At 41.1% G+C, this 14,421-nt stretch overlaps 1 protein-coding gene across 11 annotated transcripts in view, besides 5 other annotated features; it reads right to left on the bottom strand.

The window, feature by feature from the left end:
- BLK (BLK proto-oncogene, Src family tyrosine kinase) overlaps positions 1–14,421 on the bottom strand; it is a 70,213-nt gene that overhangs the window by 23,019 nt on the left and 32,773 nt on the right. For 3 of the 11 annotated variants that reach the window (XM_047422081.1, XM_047422082.1, XM_047422084.1), the window contains exon 1: positions 3,082–3,261. The exons of 6 other annotated variants lie outside the window; for them this stretch is intronic. The gene's annotated coding sequence lies outside the window, so the exon portion shown is untranslated. Of the gene's footprint in view, positions 1–2,009; positions 2,306–3,081; positions 3,262–14,421 lie in introns of those variants that run through there. 2 more of the 11 variants (XM_011543825.4, XM_047422083.1) reach the window with 1 other exon arrangement.
- Positions 2,491–2,570: an enhancer, noted in NCBI's record as "active region_27026". NCBI's record gives its function as "activates an Ori minimal core promoter by ATAC-STARR-seq in GM12878 lymphoblastoid cells {active_cell/tissue: GM12878}" and the evidence as "EXISTENCE:reporter gene assay evidence [ECO:0000049][PMID:35858748]".
- Positions 3,253–3,417: a silencer, noted in NCBI's record as "fragment chr8:11395673-11395837 (GRCh37/hg19 assembly coordinates)". NCBI's record gives its function as "represses an EF-1alpha promoter that drives an FKBP-Casp9 reporter gene in an ReSE screen in HepG2 liver carcinoma cells {active_cell/tissue: HepG2}" and the evidence as "EXISTENCE:reporter gene assay evidence [ECO:0000049][PMID:32094911]".
- Positions 3,731–3,960: an enhancer, noted in NCBI's record as "active region_27025". NCBI's record gives its function as "activates an Ori minimal core promoter by ATAC-STARR-seq in GM12878 lymphoblastoid cells {active_cell/tissue: GM12878}" and the evidence as "EXISTENCE:reporter gene assay evidence [ECO:0000049][PMID:35858748]".
- Positions 9,427–9,486: an enhancer, noted in NCBI's record as "active region_27024". NCBI's record gives its function as "activates an Ori minimal core promoter by ATAC-STARR-seq in GM12878 lymphoblastoid cells {active_cell/tissue: GM12878}" and the evidence as "EXISTENCE:reporter gene assay evidence [ECO:0000049][PMID:35858748]".
- Positions 9,657–9,736: an enhancer, noted in NCBI's record as "active region_27023". NCBI's record gives its function as "activates an Ori minimal core promoter by ATAC-STARR-seq in GM12878 lymphoblastoid cells {active_cell/tissue: GM12878}" and the evidence as "EXISTENCE:reporter gene assay evidence [ECO:0000049][PMID:35858748]".

Raw genomic sequence — 14,421 nt, 5'->3', positions numbered from 1 at the left:
GGTTGTAGTGAGCCAAGATCATGCCATTGCACTCCAGCCTGGGCAACAGAGTGAGACTCCATCTCGAAAAAAAAAAAAAAGAGAGAGAGACGATGGGTTTGTATTGCGGCTGGCTACTGAATTTTAGCAGGTGCCTATACAATATCGATCAATATGATGTATGTTCACCTTTAATTTGTCAATGTAATAAATTATGTTGGTAAATTTTCTGTTATTGAAACATCTGTACATTCCTGGAAAAATACTATTTGATTACAGCATATTAGTCTATTTGGCACATGGATGGATTCTTATTTGCTAATTATTTTGTTTTGAGACAGTGTCTCACTCTGTTGCCTACGCTGGAGTCCCACGACCTAATCTTGGCTCACTGCAACCTCTGCCTCCCAAGGCTAAGGTGATCCTCCCACCTCAGCCTCTCGAGTAGCTGGGATGACAGGCATGTGCTACCATGCCCTACTAAATTTTTTATTTTTTGGTAGAGACAGGGTTTTGCCATGTCATGCAGGCTGGTCTCAAACTCCAGAGCTCAAGTGACCTGCCCATCTCAGCCTCCCAAAGTACTGGGATTGCAGGTGTCAGCCATCACACTCGGCCCTATTTGCTAATATTTTATTTAGAATGAGAATCTGTATTCCCAAGGGAGATTTGTCTATGAGGCATTAGCATTAAGGTGCGCTGGCTTTGTAACAGATATTGAGGAGCTCTCTTTTTTTTTTTTTTCTATCTTCTTGAGTGGTTTCATAACAGTGGGGTTATCTGTTCCTCACAGGCTAAATAGAACTCAGTTGTGAAGCCATCTGTGTCTGGGGCCCTTTCAAATAGTAAATCTTTAAAGACATTTCCAATTTCTTCTATAGGAATGATCTATTCCCATTTTTTCTCCTCTTTGTGCCATTTTGATGATTTATATGGTTTATAGATCTTTAATTTCATCTACATTTTCCAATCTGTTGCCATAGTTTTATGTAGCATTGTCTTGTAATTATTATACTCTGTTCTCTTTTTTGATTGTGATGTTTTTCTTGTTCCTAATATAAATGGAATGTTCTTTTAATTAAAATTATAATTTGTAATTGCATAAAATCATCTGAAGCTTTACATGACTAAATTAAGTCTTAACCTAGCTTTATAATTATGAAATAGAAGATTGTAATCAAAACCGCATGAAATTGGAATAATAAAAGTAGACAACAATCATCAGAGCAGAATAAAAAACATACAAACAGATTTTGGTAAATACAGGAATCGCGTATGTGAAAAAGATAGCATTTTAATTCAGTAGAAAGTGGATAGTTTATTTTAATAAATGGTATTAGGAAAATGACTATTTACCTTAAGGAAAATACAATTGAACCCCTACCTCACATGATATTAAAAAATAAATTCTAGGTGTATGACTGAAAAAAATAAAAAACAAAAATGTAATTAAAAGAAATGTAAGAAACTGTGTATATAACCCAGAGTTTGGAGACAACTACTAACAAAGATAAAATACCCAGAAGCGAAGAGAGAACAAAAAAAGTACAAATTCATAAACATTAAAAATATTAGATGGTATAAGAAACTACTCATGAAGTTCGTAGATAAGCAATAGATTGGGTAAGAGATTGCAAAGCATCAGATAAATGTGTATTCATAATATATACAAAGCTCATAAACTTTTGACAGGAAGTATATTGCAGCATATAATTCATTCAATAGAAAAATGTGTAAAGATAAGAAATAGGAAGTTAGTGCAACACAAACCCAAATAGTAAAATGTTTGTTATAATTATTGTTTCATTTGTTCCTTCACGCTCCATTTCTAGGATTAATCTTCTGTGAGAGCTGGAATCTTTGTTTTATTCATTGCTGAATCCAAATTGCTAAACCAATGTCTGGCACAGAGTGTGGGCTTAATAAATATTTATTAGACAAAACATGAAATATTATTGGAAGAAGCAATCTTTTAAATTCTTTTAAAGGGCAATCTTTTAAATTCTGTTAAAATAAAAAAGCACACATACCTTTTGATTTTCAGTCCCACTCTGGACTATCTCAGGTTAATAAAACATCATTATATAGACACATGTGAGAGATGAAAATGTTTGTTGTAGTAATAGTTGGAAAAACAATCCCCTCCCCCGAAAAAAAATCCCAAACAGAAAACAACAATGTAACTGCCCAGCAATTGAAGACTTGTTGAATAAATCTACACTCTATAAATCTCTCATACAACTACTAAAAAAAATGTGCTGGATCTTCACCAGTGAGGTCAAGAGGAATTTCGGTACCATGTTGTTACACGAGAAAAGTAAGACCCAAAGAGGTGCATGAGGGAATCCCATATTTGCAAACACCAAATGAAAAGAAACCTCTATTCAGGCGTGTAGATATGTTTGCATATTACACAGAAAGAGGCTGGGGAGGATGAACACCAAGTTGTTTACTGTGGTTATTGTTAGAGGAAGGGAGAGTACAAAACAGAGGTGTGGTGTAAGGCAAAACAAAACAAAAAAAAAACCAGCGGACTTAAAAAACGGTGTGTGTGCTAATGCAAAGCAGGTCCCACCAAAGTATTTTCTAAATGGATTTTGGATTATAAGACTTCATGTGACTTTGACTTTCTTTCTTTTAATTGTATATATTTCTTAAATTCTTTAATACTAAGCATATATTATTGATACAAGCAGAAAAATAAAAGGAGGATTTGAGTGATTTGCCCAGCAACAGAGGAGCATAAGGCCTGGAGCCAGGGCCAGCCTGCAGTTCTTGACAATGACCGTTAAGTGGCCAGCCAGGGCTGCCTGAACCTCAGGCCTTTCGTGGCCTCTCTCAGCCTCCCTGACTCAACGAAGGGCCAGTGGTCAGCAGCTCCTAGTATATTCCCCAGACTTGGACTCATACTTCCGCATCTGCCCAGGTGACCAGCCCTCTTGTCTTTCTTAGTCTGGCCAGCCATATTGCCATTGACTTTAAGCTTCCTGGCAAACACCTGTGTCCACTGAGACAACATAATTGAACATTGGTTGTTCAATTTATTGAACAAAGAACCGGACAGAAAGTAAAATTCCTAAGATTAAATGACCCACTACTTACACTTCTGTCCTTTGACTCCTTAGCAGTGTGTGTGCAGATGATTTTCCATGGGTCTCATGAGTACCTCAGGTCTCTATGGGTCCCCCTACTCCAGTGGCTTTGACTGGAGACCTGGGTTCCTCAAGAGGCCATGGGACAACCAGGGCTGTCACTGGTGCTCGGGCTGCACCCAGCAGTTTCAGGTTGGGTGAAGCCAGGAAGTGCAGAAGTCCAGACAGAGGCAAAACGCATCACACACTGGCTGGGGCTCCAGATGGCTTTGCTGCATTGTGGGAAGGGTGTGAGTCTGTGTATGTTTGTGAGAGAGTGGGAGAGGAAGCATACACACTTATGTGCACTTGTGTGTGTGTGAGAGCGAGAGCATGCGTGTGAATACACATGTGTGTATGTGCTTGAATATGTGTGTGTATATATGTGTGTGTGTGTCTATGTGTGCACGTGTATATGCATGTGTGAGAGAGCATGCATGTGCACCGTGTGCATGTGTGTCTAGTCGGGGGAGTCAGCAAGAGGAGGGGAAGTGGGAAAGGGGAGTTGTTTGTTTATTTGAAACCAGCTAGGCCCTCTAATGCAGACTTTCACCAGAGCAGGGCAGTCAATGTTTGCTTTGGGAGATGCTCAAAGCCTGAAACACAGCTTCAGTCAAACAAGGGGTGTGGTGGAGGCATCAACTAAAAATAGAGAAACTAGAAACCCCTTATTTGCACTTGGCTAGCATGACATGGTTGAAAAGCACTTGACGGATAACGAGTTTTTCTTTTTTTCTAATACATGTTAGCCTTGATAAATTGGTTACAGTTATCCTCATTTTACCACTGAAGAAGGCGAGGCGAGGTGGCTTGGTAAGGTCATGCTGAAGGTGGCAGAGCTGGCAGCTGGAGGGTGTTACTGTCTCCAGGGCTGCTTGAGCCCTCTGCACAAAACAGGTGCACCTGTGGCCCTGCCTGAGGCTCTGTGTCCCTTGGAGGGGACAGTTCAGATTCCCTATCATCTCCCCTGTGGCAAAATAGTTTTGCTATTTTGTATCTGGAAGCCTTGCCATGTTATGTGCTGGAGGCTTTGCCTTTCTGATTTGACCTGCCAGACATAGGTGGGTAGCATCCAGGTAGAACAGGGGTACCTACTGGCAAAGCTGGGACTCACCCTGGGTGTCGCGATCACAATGCCATGCTAGCTGCCGGCATGAGATCCCATATGGAGCATCTCACCAACATCCAGAATTCCAAATTCTCCCAGTACAAACCACCAATGCTATACTCATCTTGTAAATGAAGAAAGTACGGTGATTGGCCTATGGCTCTGAATTAAAGAAGGGGCCAAAGAATTTGAGTTAAAATTCATGTTTCATGTCTCAACTCAGGACAACACCACTGAAATGAGGCTTCCTCACCTTTGCCCTAATACTGACCTCTCCACATGTGAACCTGAAACAGCCCCGATAACAGTTCCTAGCAACGAGGTTCTTCTATTCATTCAGCCACAGACATTCAGTTGCTGTCAACCATGAACTATGTCAGGCATAGCGGAAGGTACAGGCATGAAACAAGGATGGAGCCCACTCTCACAGGAAAATAAGGAGGAAAGGCATGCACCCGATTCCATCAGTTCAGAGTGGGCATGATTCTGTACCAAAGAGAGGCCTGGGTAAAGTGTTTTGTGAGCTCAGCAAAAAGAAATTACTTCCACCTGGGAGAAAACGCTAGCCAGACCTGAGAAGGATGGCTACAACAGATTTTTTTAGATGAAAACTATTTTTTATGAAACCTTCCAAAATATACTAAAGTCAAGAATATTGGCCAGGCACAGTGGTTCATGCCTGTAATCCCAGCACTTGCGAGGTTGAGGTGGGAGATCATTTGAGGTCAGGGGTTTGAGACCAACCTGGCCAACATGGTGAAACCCCGTCTCTACCACAAATACAAAAATTAGCCAGGCACGTGCCTATAAAAATTAGCCAGGCGCATGCCTGTAATCCCAGCTACTTGGGAGGTTGAGGTGGGAGAATCGCTTGAAACCAGGAGGTGGAGGTTGCAGTGAGCCAAGATCCTGCCACTGCACTCCAGCCTAGTTGACAGAGTGAGACTGTCTCAAAAAAATAAATAAAATAATAATATTAATAATAATAGAACTCTTCTACACTCATCACCCACATTCAATAATTATCTTTAAAATTGTTTTCTGGGTTGCAGTATTTTACATCATATCGTTTTATTTCCTCTAAATGAATGAAACTTGGAAACAACATGAAATCAATGTAGTGAAGCAAGTCATTTCACCACCCCATATTTTGCATTTGTTTCTAAAGCATGGAGACATTTGCTCACATAACCCCAATGTTACTTCATCACATCTAACAAAACTAGCAATATTTCCATGGTATCATCTAACCATCCAGCCATTGAACCCAATTCATAATCACATTTTAACAATTGACTTAAAAATAGCTTCTTGCTTAGTTTGTCCTACTCAGGATTCAAACAAGGTTCGTATATAACTCAACGTCTTAGGTTTCCTTTAAACAGGAGTCCCTTCTGCTCTGACTTTGGTTAGTTTCAAGCCTTTGATTTGTAAAGGCCAGTCCTATAGAATGTTCTCCATTTTGGATTTTGCGTCCTTGTGATGGTTCATCACTTGCTCTTCCCTCTCGTCCTTCTTACACATAGAGTTACCTCTGTAGGCTCCATTAGATTCAAGCTCAGCCCCTCTTGGTAGAGATGCTGTCGAGGAGGTGATCTGTGCTCCATGTTGCATCCTACCAGGAGGCTCACAGTGTTTACCTGCACCATTTTAGTGATGCTAAGATAGGTCGAGGCTCAGGCATCCCTATTCCTCCATTGACAAGTTCCTCACCGACATTTAAAAGTCCCATTAGTGGTTACAAAATGGGCGTGCTCTGATTCCATCAGTCCTTCCACACTTGTTAGTTGGGAGTTGAAAGAGCAAAGGATGAGAAACTGGGAACACTAGAAAAAAATACCAGGCACACTCCCAACAGGGTTGGGTAGTATTTCAGAAATAGGTGTTTTTCCAAACACATGAAGATAGAAAACACGTTCAGAAAACAAAGCTTTTCCATTGCTGGATTGTAGAGTGTGTGCTACAGTCATTCACAGCTAATGCTTTGTGCAATATATCCCTTCCTTTCCTTTCCTTCCTTCCCTTCCCTTTTCCTTCTCTTTCTTTCTTTCTTTCTTTCTTTCTTTCTTTCTTTCTTTCTTTCTTTCTTTCTTTCTTTCTTCTTTCTTTCTTTCCTTTCCTTCTTTTCTTTTTCTTTCTTTCTCTCTCTTTCTTTCTTTCTTTCCTTCTTTCTTTCTTTCTTTCATTCATCTGTCTGTCTCTTGTCACCCAGACTGGAGTGCAGAGGCGTGATCATGGCTCACTGCAGCCTTGAACTCCTGGGCTCAAGTGATCCTCCCACCTCAACCTCCCGAGTAGCTAGGACCACAGGCACGTGCTGCCATGCCTGGCTAATTTTTTAAACAATTTTATGTAGAGGTGGGATTTCATCATGTTGCCCAGGCTGGTCTTGAATGCCTGGACTCAAGCAATCCTCCCACTTCAGCCTCCCAAAGTTCTGGGTTGGATACAGGCATGAGCCGCTGCATCTGGCCTCCTTGTGCAATACTTTTAAATGCCAGCAGAATCTTTTCCCAGCACTAGCACAGAGCCTGATGGTGAGAGGCTGCTCTGTAACACCTGGCTGGGTGTGTAAGGGCCTTGGGCACGTGTGGCCCCTGCAAAAGGCTGACCTAGCAATGCCAACCTGTGACTTTTAGGTACTTCGGCACAGTTAGGAGGAGAAATTATGTGGCCATTTCAATTTTTTAAAGTGAAAAGATCTTTTGTGGAAATTCACCTCCCCCCATTGTGGTAAAATTGATAGAAAAGATTTTCAGGTGGTAAAAAGTTTGAGGGTGCTGAGCAGACCTTCAGGAAGGAAGGAAGAAGGCATTTTTATAAAGCTGTGTTAAGTCAAAGACAGACACTTGTTTATCGAGTCACCTACATTTGATTCTGCTAACAGAGAAGCTTGAAATTCATTAGGTAATTCTGGGGACGGATAAAATTCCTTTATGTGAGTGAATTTTTTTGGGGGGGGAACACCATGTAAATTTATGTTTTAAAAAACTCTCACAGTAGTGATTATTAAAATATGTTAGCAATATGCCAAAATGTTAATCCAACTACAGTTGTGTCTTGTATTGATGAGACTATGGGCCTTAACCTATTTTTCAATTTTTAACTTTTTGCATTGTTTGCATTTTGAAAAATTAAATGAGAAATCAAATCATGGGTCATTACTTCCCAATGGAGTCAGTTATGATTCTTTGGCACAATAGTTCTGAAACCTCAGTTTGTATTTTAACCAGCAGGGGAGTTTGCAGACTCCCAACCCCAGCCCCAGCAGTGCTGGTATCTGCATTTTTAAAAAATGCCCCCAGTGATGCTGATGCAGGCAGGTCATGAGCTCCACTTCATGGAGACCCTTTCTTCAATTGGCCGAGCTTCTGGATCATGACTTGTGACAAGGATTGAAAGGCAGGCCCGCCAACACGGGGCATTCCCTCCTTTGAGTCTCCCATAAATAATGCCTGCAGTTTTACTGCCAGTGATCCTCTTGTCTCTCCATGAAATGAATTATTTCTGTCCTCCATACAAACATTTCTTACATATTAGTATATTTCTGCATAGCTTTTTGACAGAGGGAAATAACTTCCCTTTTTATAATAACTCACACCTCTGTGGTACTTTCCAGCCTGCAAAGCATTTTCCCACATGAGCCTCATGAGGACCCTGTAAACTAGATAGATCCTCCCCCTCCCCATCTCCCTCCCTCTCCCCCTCCGTCTCCTCCACCTCCCCTTCCCCCTCCTCCTACTCCTCTCCTCCTCCTTCTCCTCCTCCTCCTCCTCCTCCGGCAGACAGGGAAGAAACTGAAGCACAGAAGAGAGATTTGAGCCACATCTCTGACTTCAAACCCTTGGTCTTTCCCACGGAGGTTCACACGTATCTTACCCAGATACACATCTGGTCACGACTTGAACCTCTCTTAAAAGGCCCTGGACATCATTCAATCCTTTGGAGCTGTTTCTCCAATGTTTCCTTGGCAGAACCCAGAGGTGGAATGTGTAAGAAGGGAGCGTGCAGTGAGAAGCACCTCCATCGGGTTTGAGGGTGCAGGAGAACATTTAGACTGAAAGGTTCTCTTTTATGCTTTCAAACATGAGATTGGAAAATGTTAAAGAAAGAAAAAGAAAAGAAAAGGTCTCAGGCCTTTAACATGCTTGGGTTGATTGTAATTACTGAGTGGATCTAGAGACACAGATGTCCTGCTAGAGAGGCAGAGATTTAAAATTAACTCATAAAACGGTTGCAGGATTTGCCTATCACATAAAACATGAATACTAATGATGCTGGCACAGTGCCTAGTACACCTTCTGACTCAAGGCTGGGCATTTTACTGCATGCTTTTCATGTATTATATGTAGCCCTGACAGCAGACATATACCTTCCCATTTTACAGATGAAGAAACTCAGGCTCCTTGAGGCTTAAGGTCTTGCTGAAGGTACAGTAAGTCACAGAACTGTTATTCAAAAACCAATTTTATCCACAGGTAACTTAACAGTGTGCCACATGCAAGTGTGACACTCTCTAAAGAAACACGATAATATTCAGCGCTCACTAATCATATTCAGCACTCATAGTGCCTGTCATCCAGTAACAATTGCCAGGCATGCAAAGAAACAGAAAAACATGACTCTCAACTAGGAGAAAAGTTAATTGAGAGGAACATGAGCAGAAATTGCACACATTTTGATATTAGTAGACTAGTGCCTTAAAACAGAAATGACAAAAATATATAAACTGGTTCAAATATATAACTGAAAGCAATAAGACAATGAAGAGAGAAAATGAAGACATAAAAAAATTAAATGGGTCTCCTAGAGATTAAAAAAAATACAATATCTGAAATTAAGAAAAAAGAGAGGCCAGAAGTGGCGGCTCATGCCTGTAATCCCAGCACTTTAGGAGGCCAAGGCAGGAGGATCATTTGAGCTCAGGAGTTCGAGACCAGCCTGGCCAACATGGTGAAACCCTGTCTCTGCTAAAAATACAAAAAAAAAAAAAAAAATGAGCTGGGCATGGTGCTGCGTGCCTGTAATCCTAGCTACTTGGGAGCCTGAGGCAGGAGAATTGCTTGAGCCTGGGAGGCAGAGGTTGCTTTGAGCCAAGATCACACCACTGCACTCTAGCCTGGGCAACAGAGCGAGATTTTGTCTCAAATAAATAAATAAATAAATAAATATTAAAATTTTTTTATAAAAGGAAAAAAAAACATGACCAGGTACATTGGCTCATGCCTGTAATCCCAGCACTTTGGGAGGCCGAAGCAGGTGAATTACTTGAGGTCAGGGGTTTGAGACCAGCCTGGCCAACATGGTGAAACCCCATCTCTACTAAAAATGCAAAAACTAGCTGGGTTTGGTGGCAGGTGCCTGTAATCACAGCTACTTGGGAGGCTGATGCAGAAGAATCACTTGAACTCGAGAGGCTGTGGTTGCAGTGAGCCGAGATGGTGCCACTGCACTCCAGCCTGGGCAACAGGGCGAGACTCTGTCTCAAAAACAAACAAACAAACAACCAAAACTCTAGATGGGATGAATAGTACATTGGGTGCTGCAGAAGGAAGGTCAGAGGGCTTGGAGACACTGCAATTGAAAGTACCCACAGTGAAGCACAGGGAGAAAAAGGTGAACATAAACAACAGAGCATCAGTGACTGGGGAGAAATTAGCACGCAGTCAGAAGACACGTAACTGGGCTACCAGAAAGACTATGAAACTTAAAGAAACCAAAAATGGAAATTCCAAATTTGATAGAAGCTATAGACCCGAAGACTCAAGAATATCAACCCCAAGTATGAAGAAAACCACACCAAGGTACATTATAATCGTATTGTTGAAAACCAATGATAAATAAAAACAATCTTAAAAGCTGCTTTAAAGAGGTACATTATATTCTTAGAAGAAAACCTAGAAGGAAATCTTTGTGACCTTGGTGTCACAAAGGATATAAAGAATATGAGTCAGAAGCATACAAACGTGACCTTCTATTCCCTTAGAATAGATTATTCCCTTAGAATAGAAGATCATAAAGTATACAAGAAAAATTGATAAATTAGACTTTTCAAAATTAAGAACTTCTGCACTTTAAAAACACCATTAAGAAAAGAAATAGCTAAATCAGAGACAGGCAGGACATTTTTGAAAAACATGTATCTATATGAGAATATATAATTAACTTTTAAACTCTATAAAAGAAGCCAAAAATTCAATTTAACAAACAGTTGAACAGAGAAGACAGCTGAGCAGCACACAAACCCATGAACAGGTGTTCGGTGTCGTCAGTCATTAGGGGAATGGCAACTAAAACCACAGTGAAATGCCACCACACAACCACCCAGATGCTAAAATTAGATGACCGATCATACCAAGTGTTGGCAAGCATATGGAGAAACTAGAATGCTCACCTGAGGCTGATGGTAAGGTGAAACGAAACAACTTTAGGAAACAATTTGGGAGCTTCTTAACCTGTGACCCAGATATTTCACTTCTTGTTGCTTATCAAAGAGAAATAAAAACATATGACCACAGAAAGACTTGACATATATGTTCTTAGCATTGTTACTCATATTAATTAGCTCCCAGCTGGAAACAACCAAAACATTCAGTAACTGGAAAAATCTTTTCGACTTTTCACTTAAAATTGTTGCTGATTCTTTTTGTTTTGTTTTTCAGAGTAAAGAAAACTTCTACTGAGCTATTTACAACTTTTAACAATTGAGCAAAATATACTCCTGTAAACAAAATTTAGAGCATATTTCTTTCTCTTTACCTGCCTTCTCCAGAATTTGGAAATTATTTGTGAGTATTTTTAACATAAGGCAATATAGTTACTTGAGTAAGTTCAATAAGAATGTGTTTTCTTTTGTAGCAAGACACAGTTGGAGACACTGCTTATTTTACCAAGGCTTTGACTGAAATGACATATTTTCAGACTGCTTTAAGAAATCGAGGCTGACCTACAGAGATGATGAAAGCCCCTTGGAGGAACTGACCTCCTACCTTGTCCTGTACAGGATTCCCGACCTGTGGCAAATAAAGAATGTCACTTTCTGACAGGCCCAGGAACTCCAAGCTTTGTTGGGACCTCAAGAAGAAAGGAATTCACCCAATTCATACAAGTATCTGCAGGCACAAATAAATCCTTGGCTGGGCTCAAGAGACTTTTAAAAGGTCTAATCTGAGATTCCTTATGAAAAAAATTCCAGCAAAGCCAGTTAGAAAAAAAGAGCCTATATGGCCAATAATTATTCTTGCTGCACTTTATGTAAATAATTAGGCAAAGTATAATAAGGCAAGCTTATTTTGCAAATAAATTGGTCTTGTCTTTAGTAAAAATAAACTGGAGAGAGAAAAATTATGTTTCAAAACAGCTACAGCACACCTGTTATTAGATTCCAGCCTCATCCATTGTTCTTGAGCTTCTGCTGATGACCCCATATTTGGTTGATTTTTGGGGTTATTCACCTGGATTCCTTGAGGCTTCAGGTCAGTTCTACAGGGACTCCTGAAGCTAGGACTTTTGAAACTGCCGCTGCAAAATTACAACTGAGACAGTGAAAGAGATCTAACCTAACCAACTGCATCTTGCTTCTAACCTCCAAGCTGTCCTTGGTCATTCCTGGGCATAGGCTGAACTAATTTTGGGAAGAAGTTAATTTATAGTTTGTAGTTAAAAATGAAGACAATAACAGCGCATTCCAGAAGAACCCTCCTTCTTTCCTGGGAACTAGATGCCTTTGTAGGACTAACAAATTAGCCACAGGATTAGAAATTATGATTTAGGAGTCATGCAGCTGGAGGCTACAAGATTCTGATCTCCCACCCCCCAAACTGCTCCTAAGATCAGCGCTTGAGATATTTTGCAGACCTGGCACTTGATGGATCAGCTGGCACCACCCAGATCAAGAAACCAGCTCATCTGATCTGTGGCTCCCACCCAGGAATTGACTCAGCGCAGGAAGACAGCTTTGACTCCCTGTGATTTCATCTCTGACCCAACCAATCAGCACTCTCGACTCACTGGCTTCCTCCACCCACCAAATTATTCTTAAAAACTCTGATCGCCGAATGCTCAAGGAGGCTGATTTGAGTAATAATAAGACTCCGGTCTTCCACACAGCTGGCTCTGTGTGAATTACTCTTTCTCTTTTGCAATTCCTCTGTCTTGATAAATTGGCTTTGTCTAGGCAGCGGGCAAGGTGAACCCACTGGGCGATTTACACTTTCACTCCTTATATTAGGGCTAATTATTATTATTACTATTATTTTAAATTTTAAGTTATGGGGTACGTGTGCAGAATGTGCAGGTTTGTTACATATGTAAACGTGTGCTATGGTGGTTTGCTGCACCTATCAACCCATCACCTAAGTATTCGGTCCAGCATCCATTAGCTATTTTTCCTGATGCTCTCCTTCCCGCTCCCCAATAGGCCCCAGTGTGTGTTATTCCCCTCTGTGTGTCCATATGTTCTCACCGTTCAGCTCCCACTTATAATTGAGAACATACAGTGTTTGGTTTTATGTTCCTGCGTTAGTTTGCTGAGGATAATGCCTTCCACCTCCATCCACTTCCATGCAAAGGACATAATCTCGTTCCTTTTTACGGCTCATTATTTTTCTTCTTAAATGCTGTACTAAATCTGTGGATAAGAGCACCAATGTTTTCGTTATACACATGTTGGACCCCAACAAGTTGCACTTGAATACATACAGGCAACTGCAAGACACTTCCACTCCTTTTACCCTGGGGTCAACCCCTCCCCCAAATATGCCCCCTGTCAGCAGGAAGAAGTTAGAGCAATCATTAGCCTTTTCTCATCTCCGTAGCTAACACCTCAGGATTGAGGGGTGCTGAAGCCCAAGTGTGTGTGAGGGGGATTGAAACTACCTTTGCAAAATTATGACAGTAAGAGAAATCTGACATGGCTGACTCCATCTTGCTTCTGACCTCCAAGCTCTCCTTGGTCATTGCTGGCCATAAACCAAAGTAACTTTGGAAGAAATTTAGTTTATAGTTTAACTTAAAAGCAAGAATGATCATCAAGTGCAGTGGCTCATGCCTGTAATTCCAGCACTTTGGGAGGCCAAGGTGGGAGATCACTTGAGCTCAGGAGTTCTAGACCAGCCTGGACAACACAGCAAGACTCCATCTCTACAAAAAATACAAAAATTAGCCAGGCATGGAGGCATGTGCTTGTAGTGCCAATGACTTGGGAGGCTGAGGTGGGAGGATCACCTGAGCCTGGGAGGCAGAGATTGCAGTGAGCTGAGATCACGCCATTGAACTCCAGCCTCGGTGACAGAGTGAGACTCTGTCTCAAAGAAAAAGCAAGGATGATAATAGTCCCTCCCCAAAACTAACCCCCTCCTTGCTCAGGGAGCAAAAATCACCCTTGTAAGACTAAGAAAGCCCACAAGAACAGGATTATGGGGGGACCTGAATTCTGCTAAAATGTAGGCATAATTTCTGTAATCCCTTACTGCTCAGGAGTCATGTGGCCAGAGGTCACAAGATTTCTGACTCCCCCATTTGGTCCTGTAGATAACATCACTATTGCAGAACCTAAGATTGGTCTTTTGAGATTTTTTTTTTTTTTTACACCCAGACTTGTGCATTCTGGCAACCAATGGACCCCACCCAAACTCAAAACTCATGACTCAACTTGTCCTGTGGCCCCACCCAAAGGAGTACTCACTCACAAGGGCAATTTTCCACACCCCTACGATTTCTTTTACAAGCAATCAGCAACACCCATTATCTATTACCCTGCCCACCAAATTGTCCATAAAAGTCCTGACCTTCACACCTTTGGGGAGACTAATTTCAGTGACAACTCAGTTCTCCTGTGTGGGCTAGGCTTATGTCAATTAAACTCCTTCCCCACTAAAAAAAAAAAAAGAAAGAAAAATTCTAGATAAGGCAAAGCTATGGTTCTAGAAAGTAGATCAGTGGTTGGAGGTAGCATAAGGGGTATGAACAGAAAGGGCTAAAGGAAACTTATTGGGGTGGTGAAAATGTTGTCCATTTTGATTGTGGTGGACTTTATACAAGAGTATATATTTGCAAAAATGCATAATTGTGCCCCAAATGGGTGAATTTTGTGGAATGTTATTTACACCCCCTTAGAGGTGACTTTTAAAAAGAGCATTGCAAGCCATTGAAGGGTATGGAGTTTTGTATAGTCTTTGGTGTGTTGAGTTTTGTAAGCTGGTA

This window comes from Homo sapiens, chromosome 8 (assembly GCF_000001405.40).
Source record: "Homo sapiens chromosome 8, GRCh38.p14 Primary Assembly".
NCBI lineage: Eukaryota > Metazoa > Chordata > Mammalia > Primates > Hominidae > Homo > Homo sapiens.
Note: the sequence above shows the minus strand (reverse complement) of the source record. Positions and strands in the feature narration are given on the sequence as shown.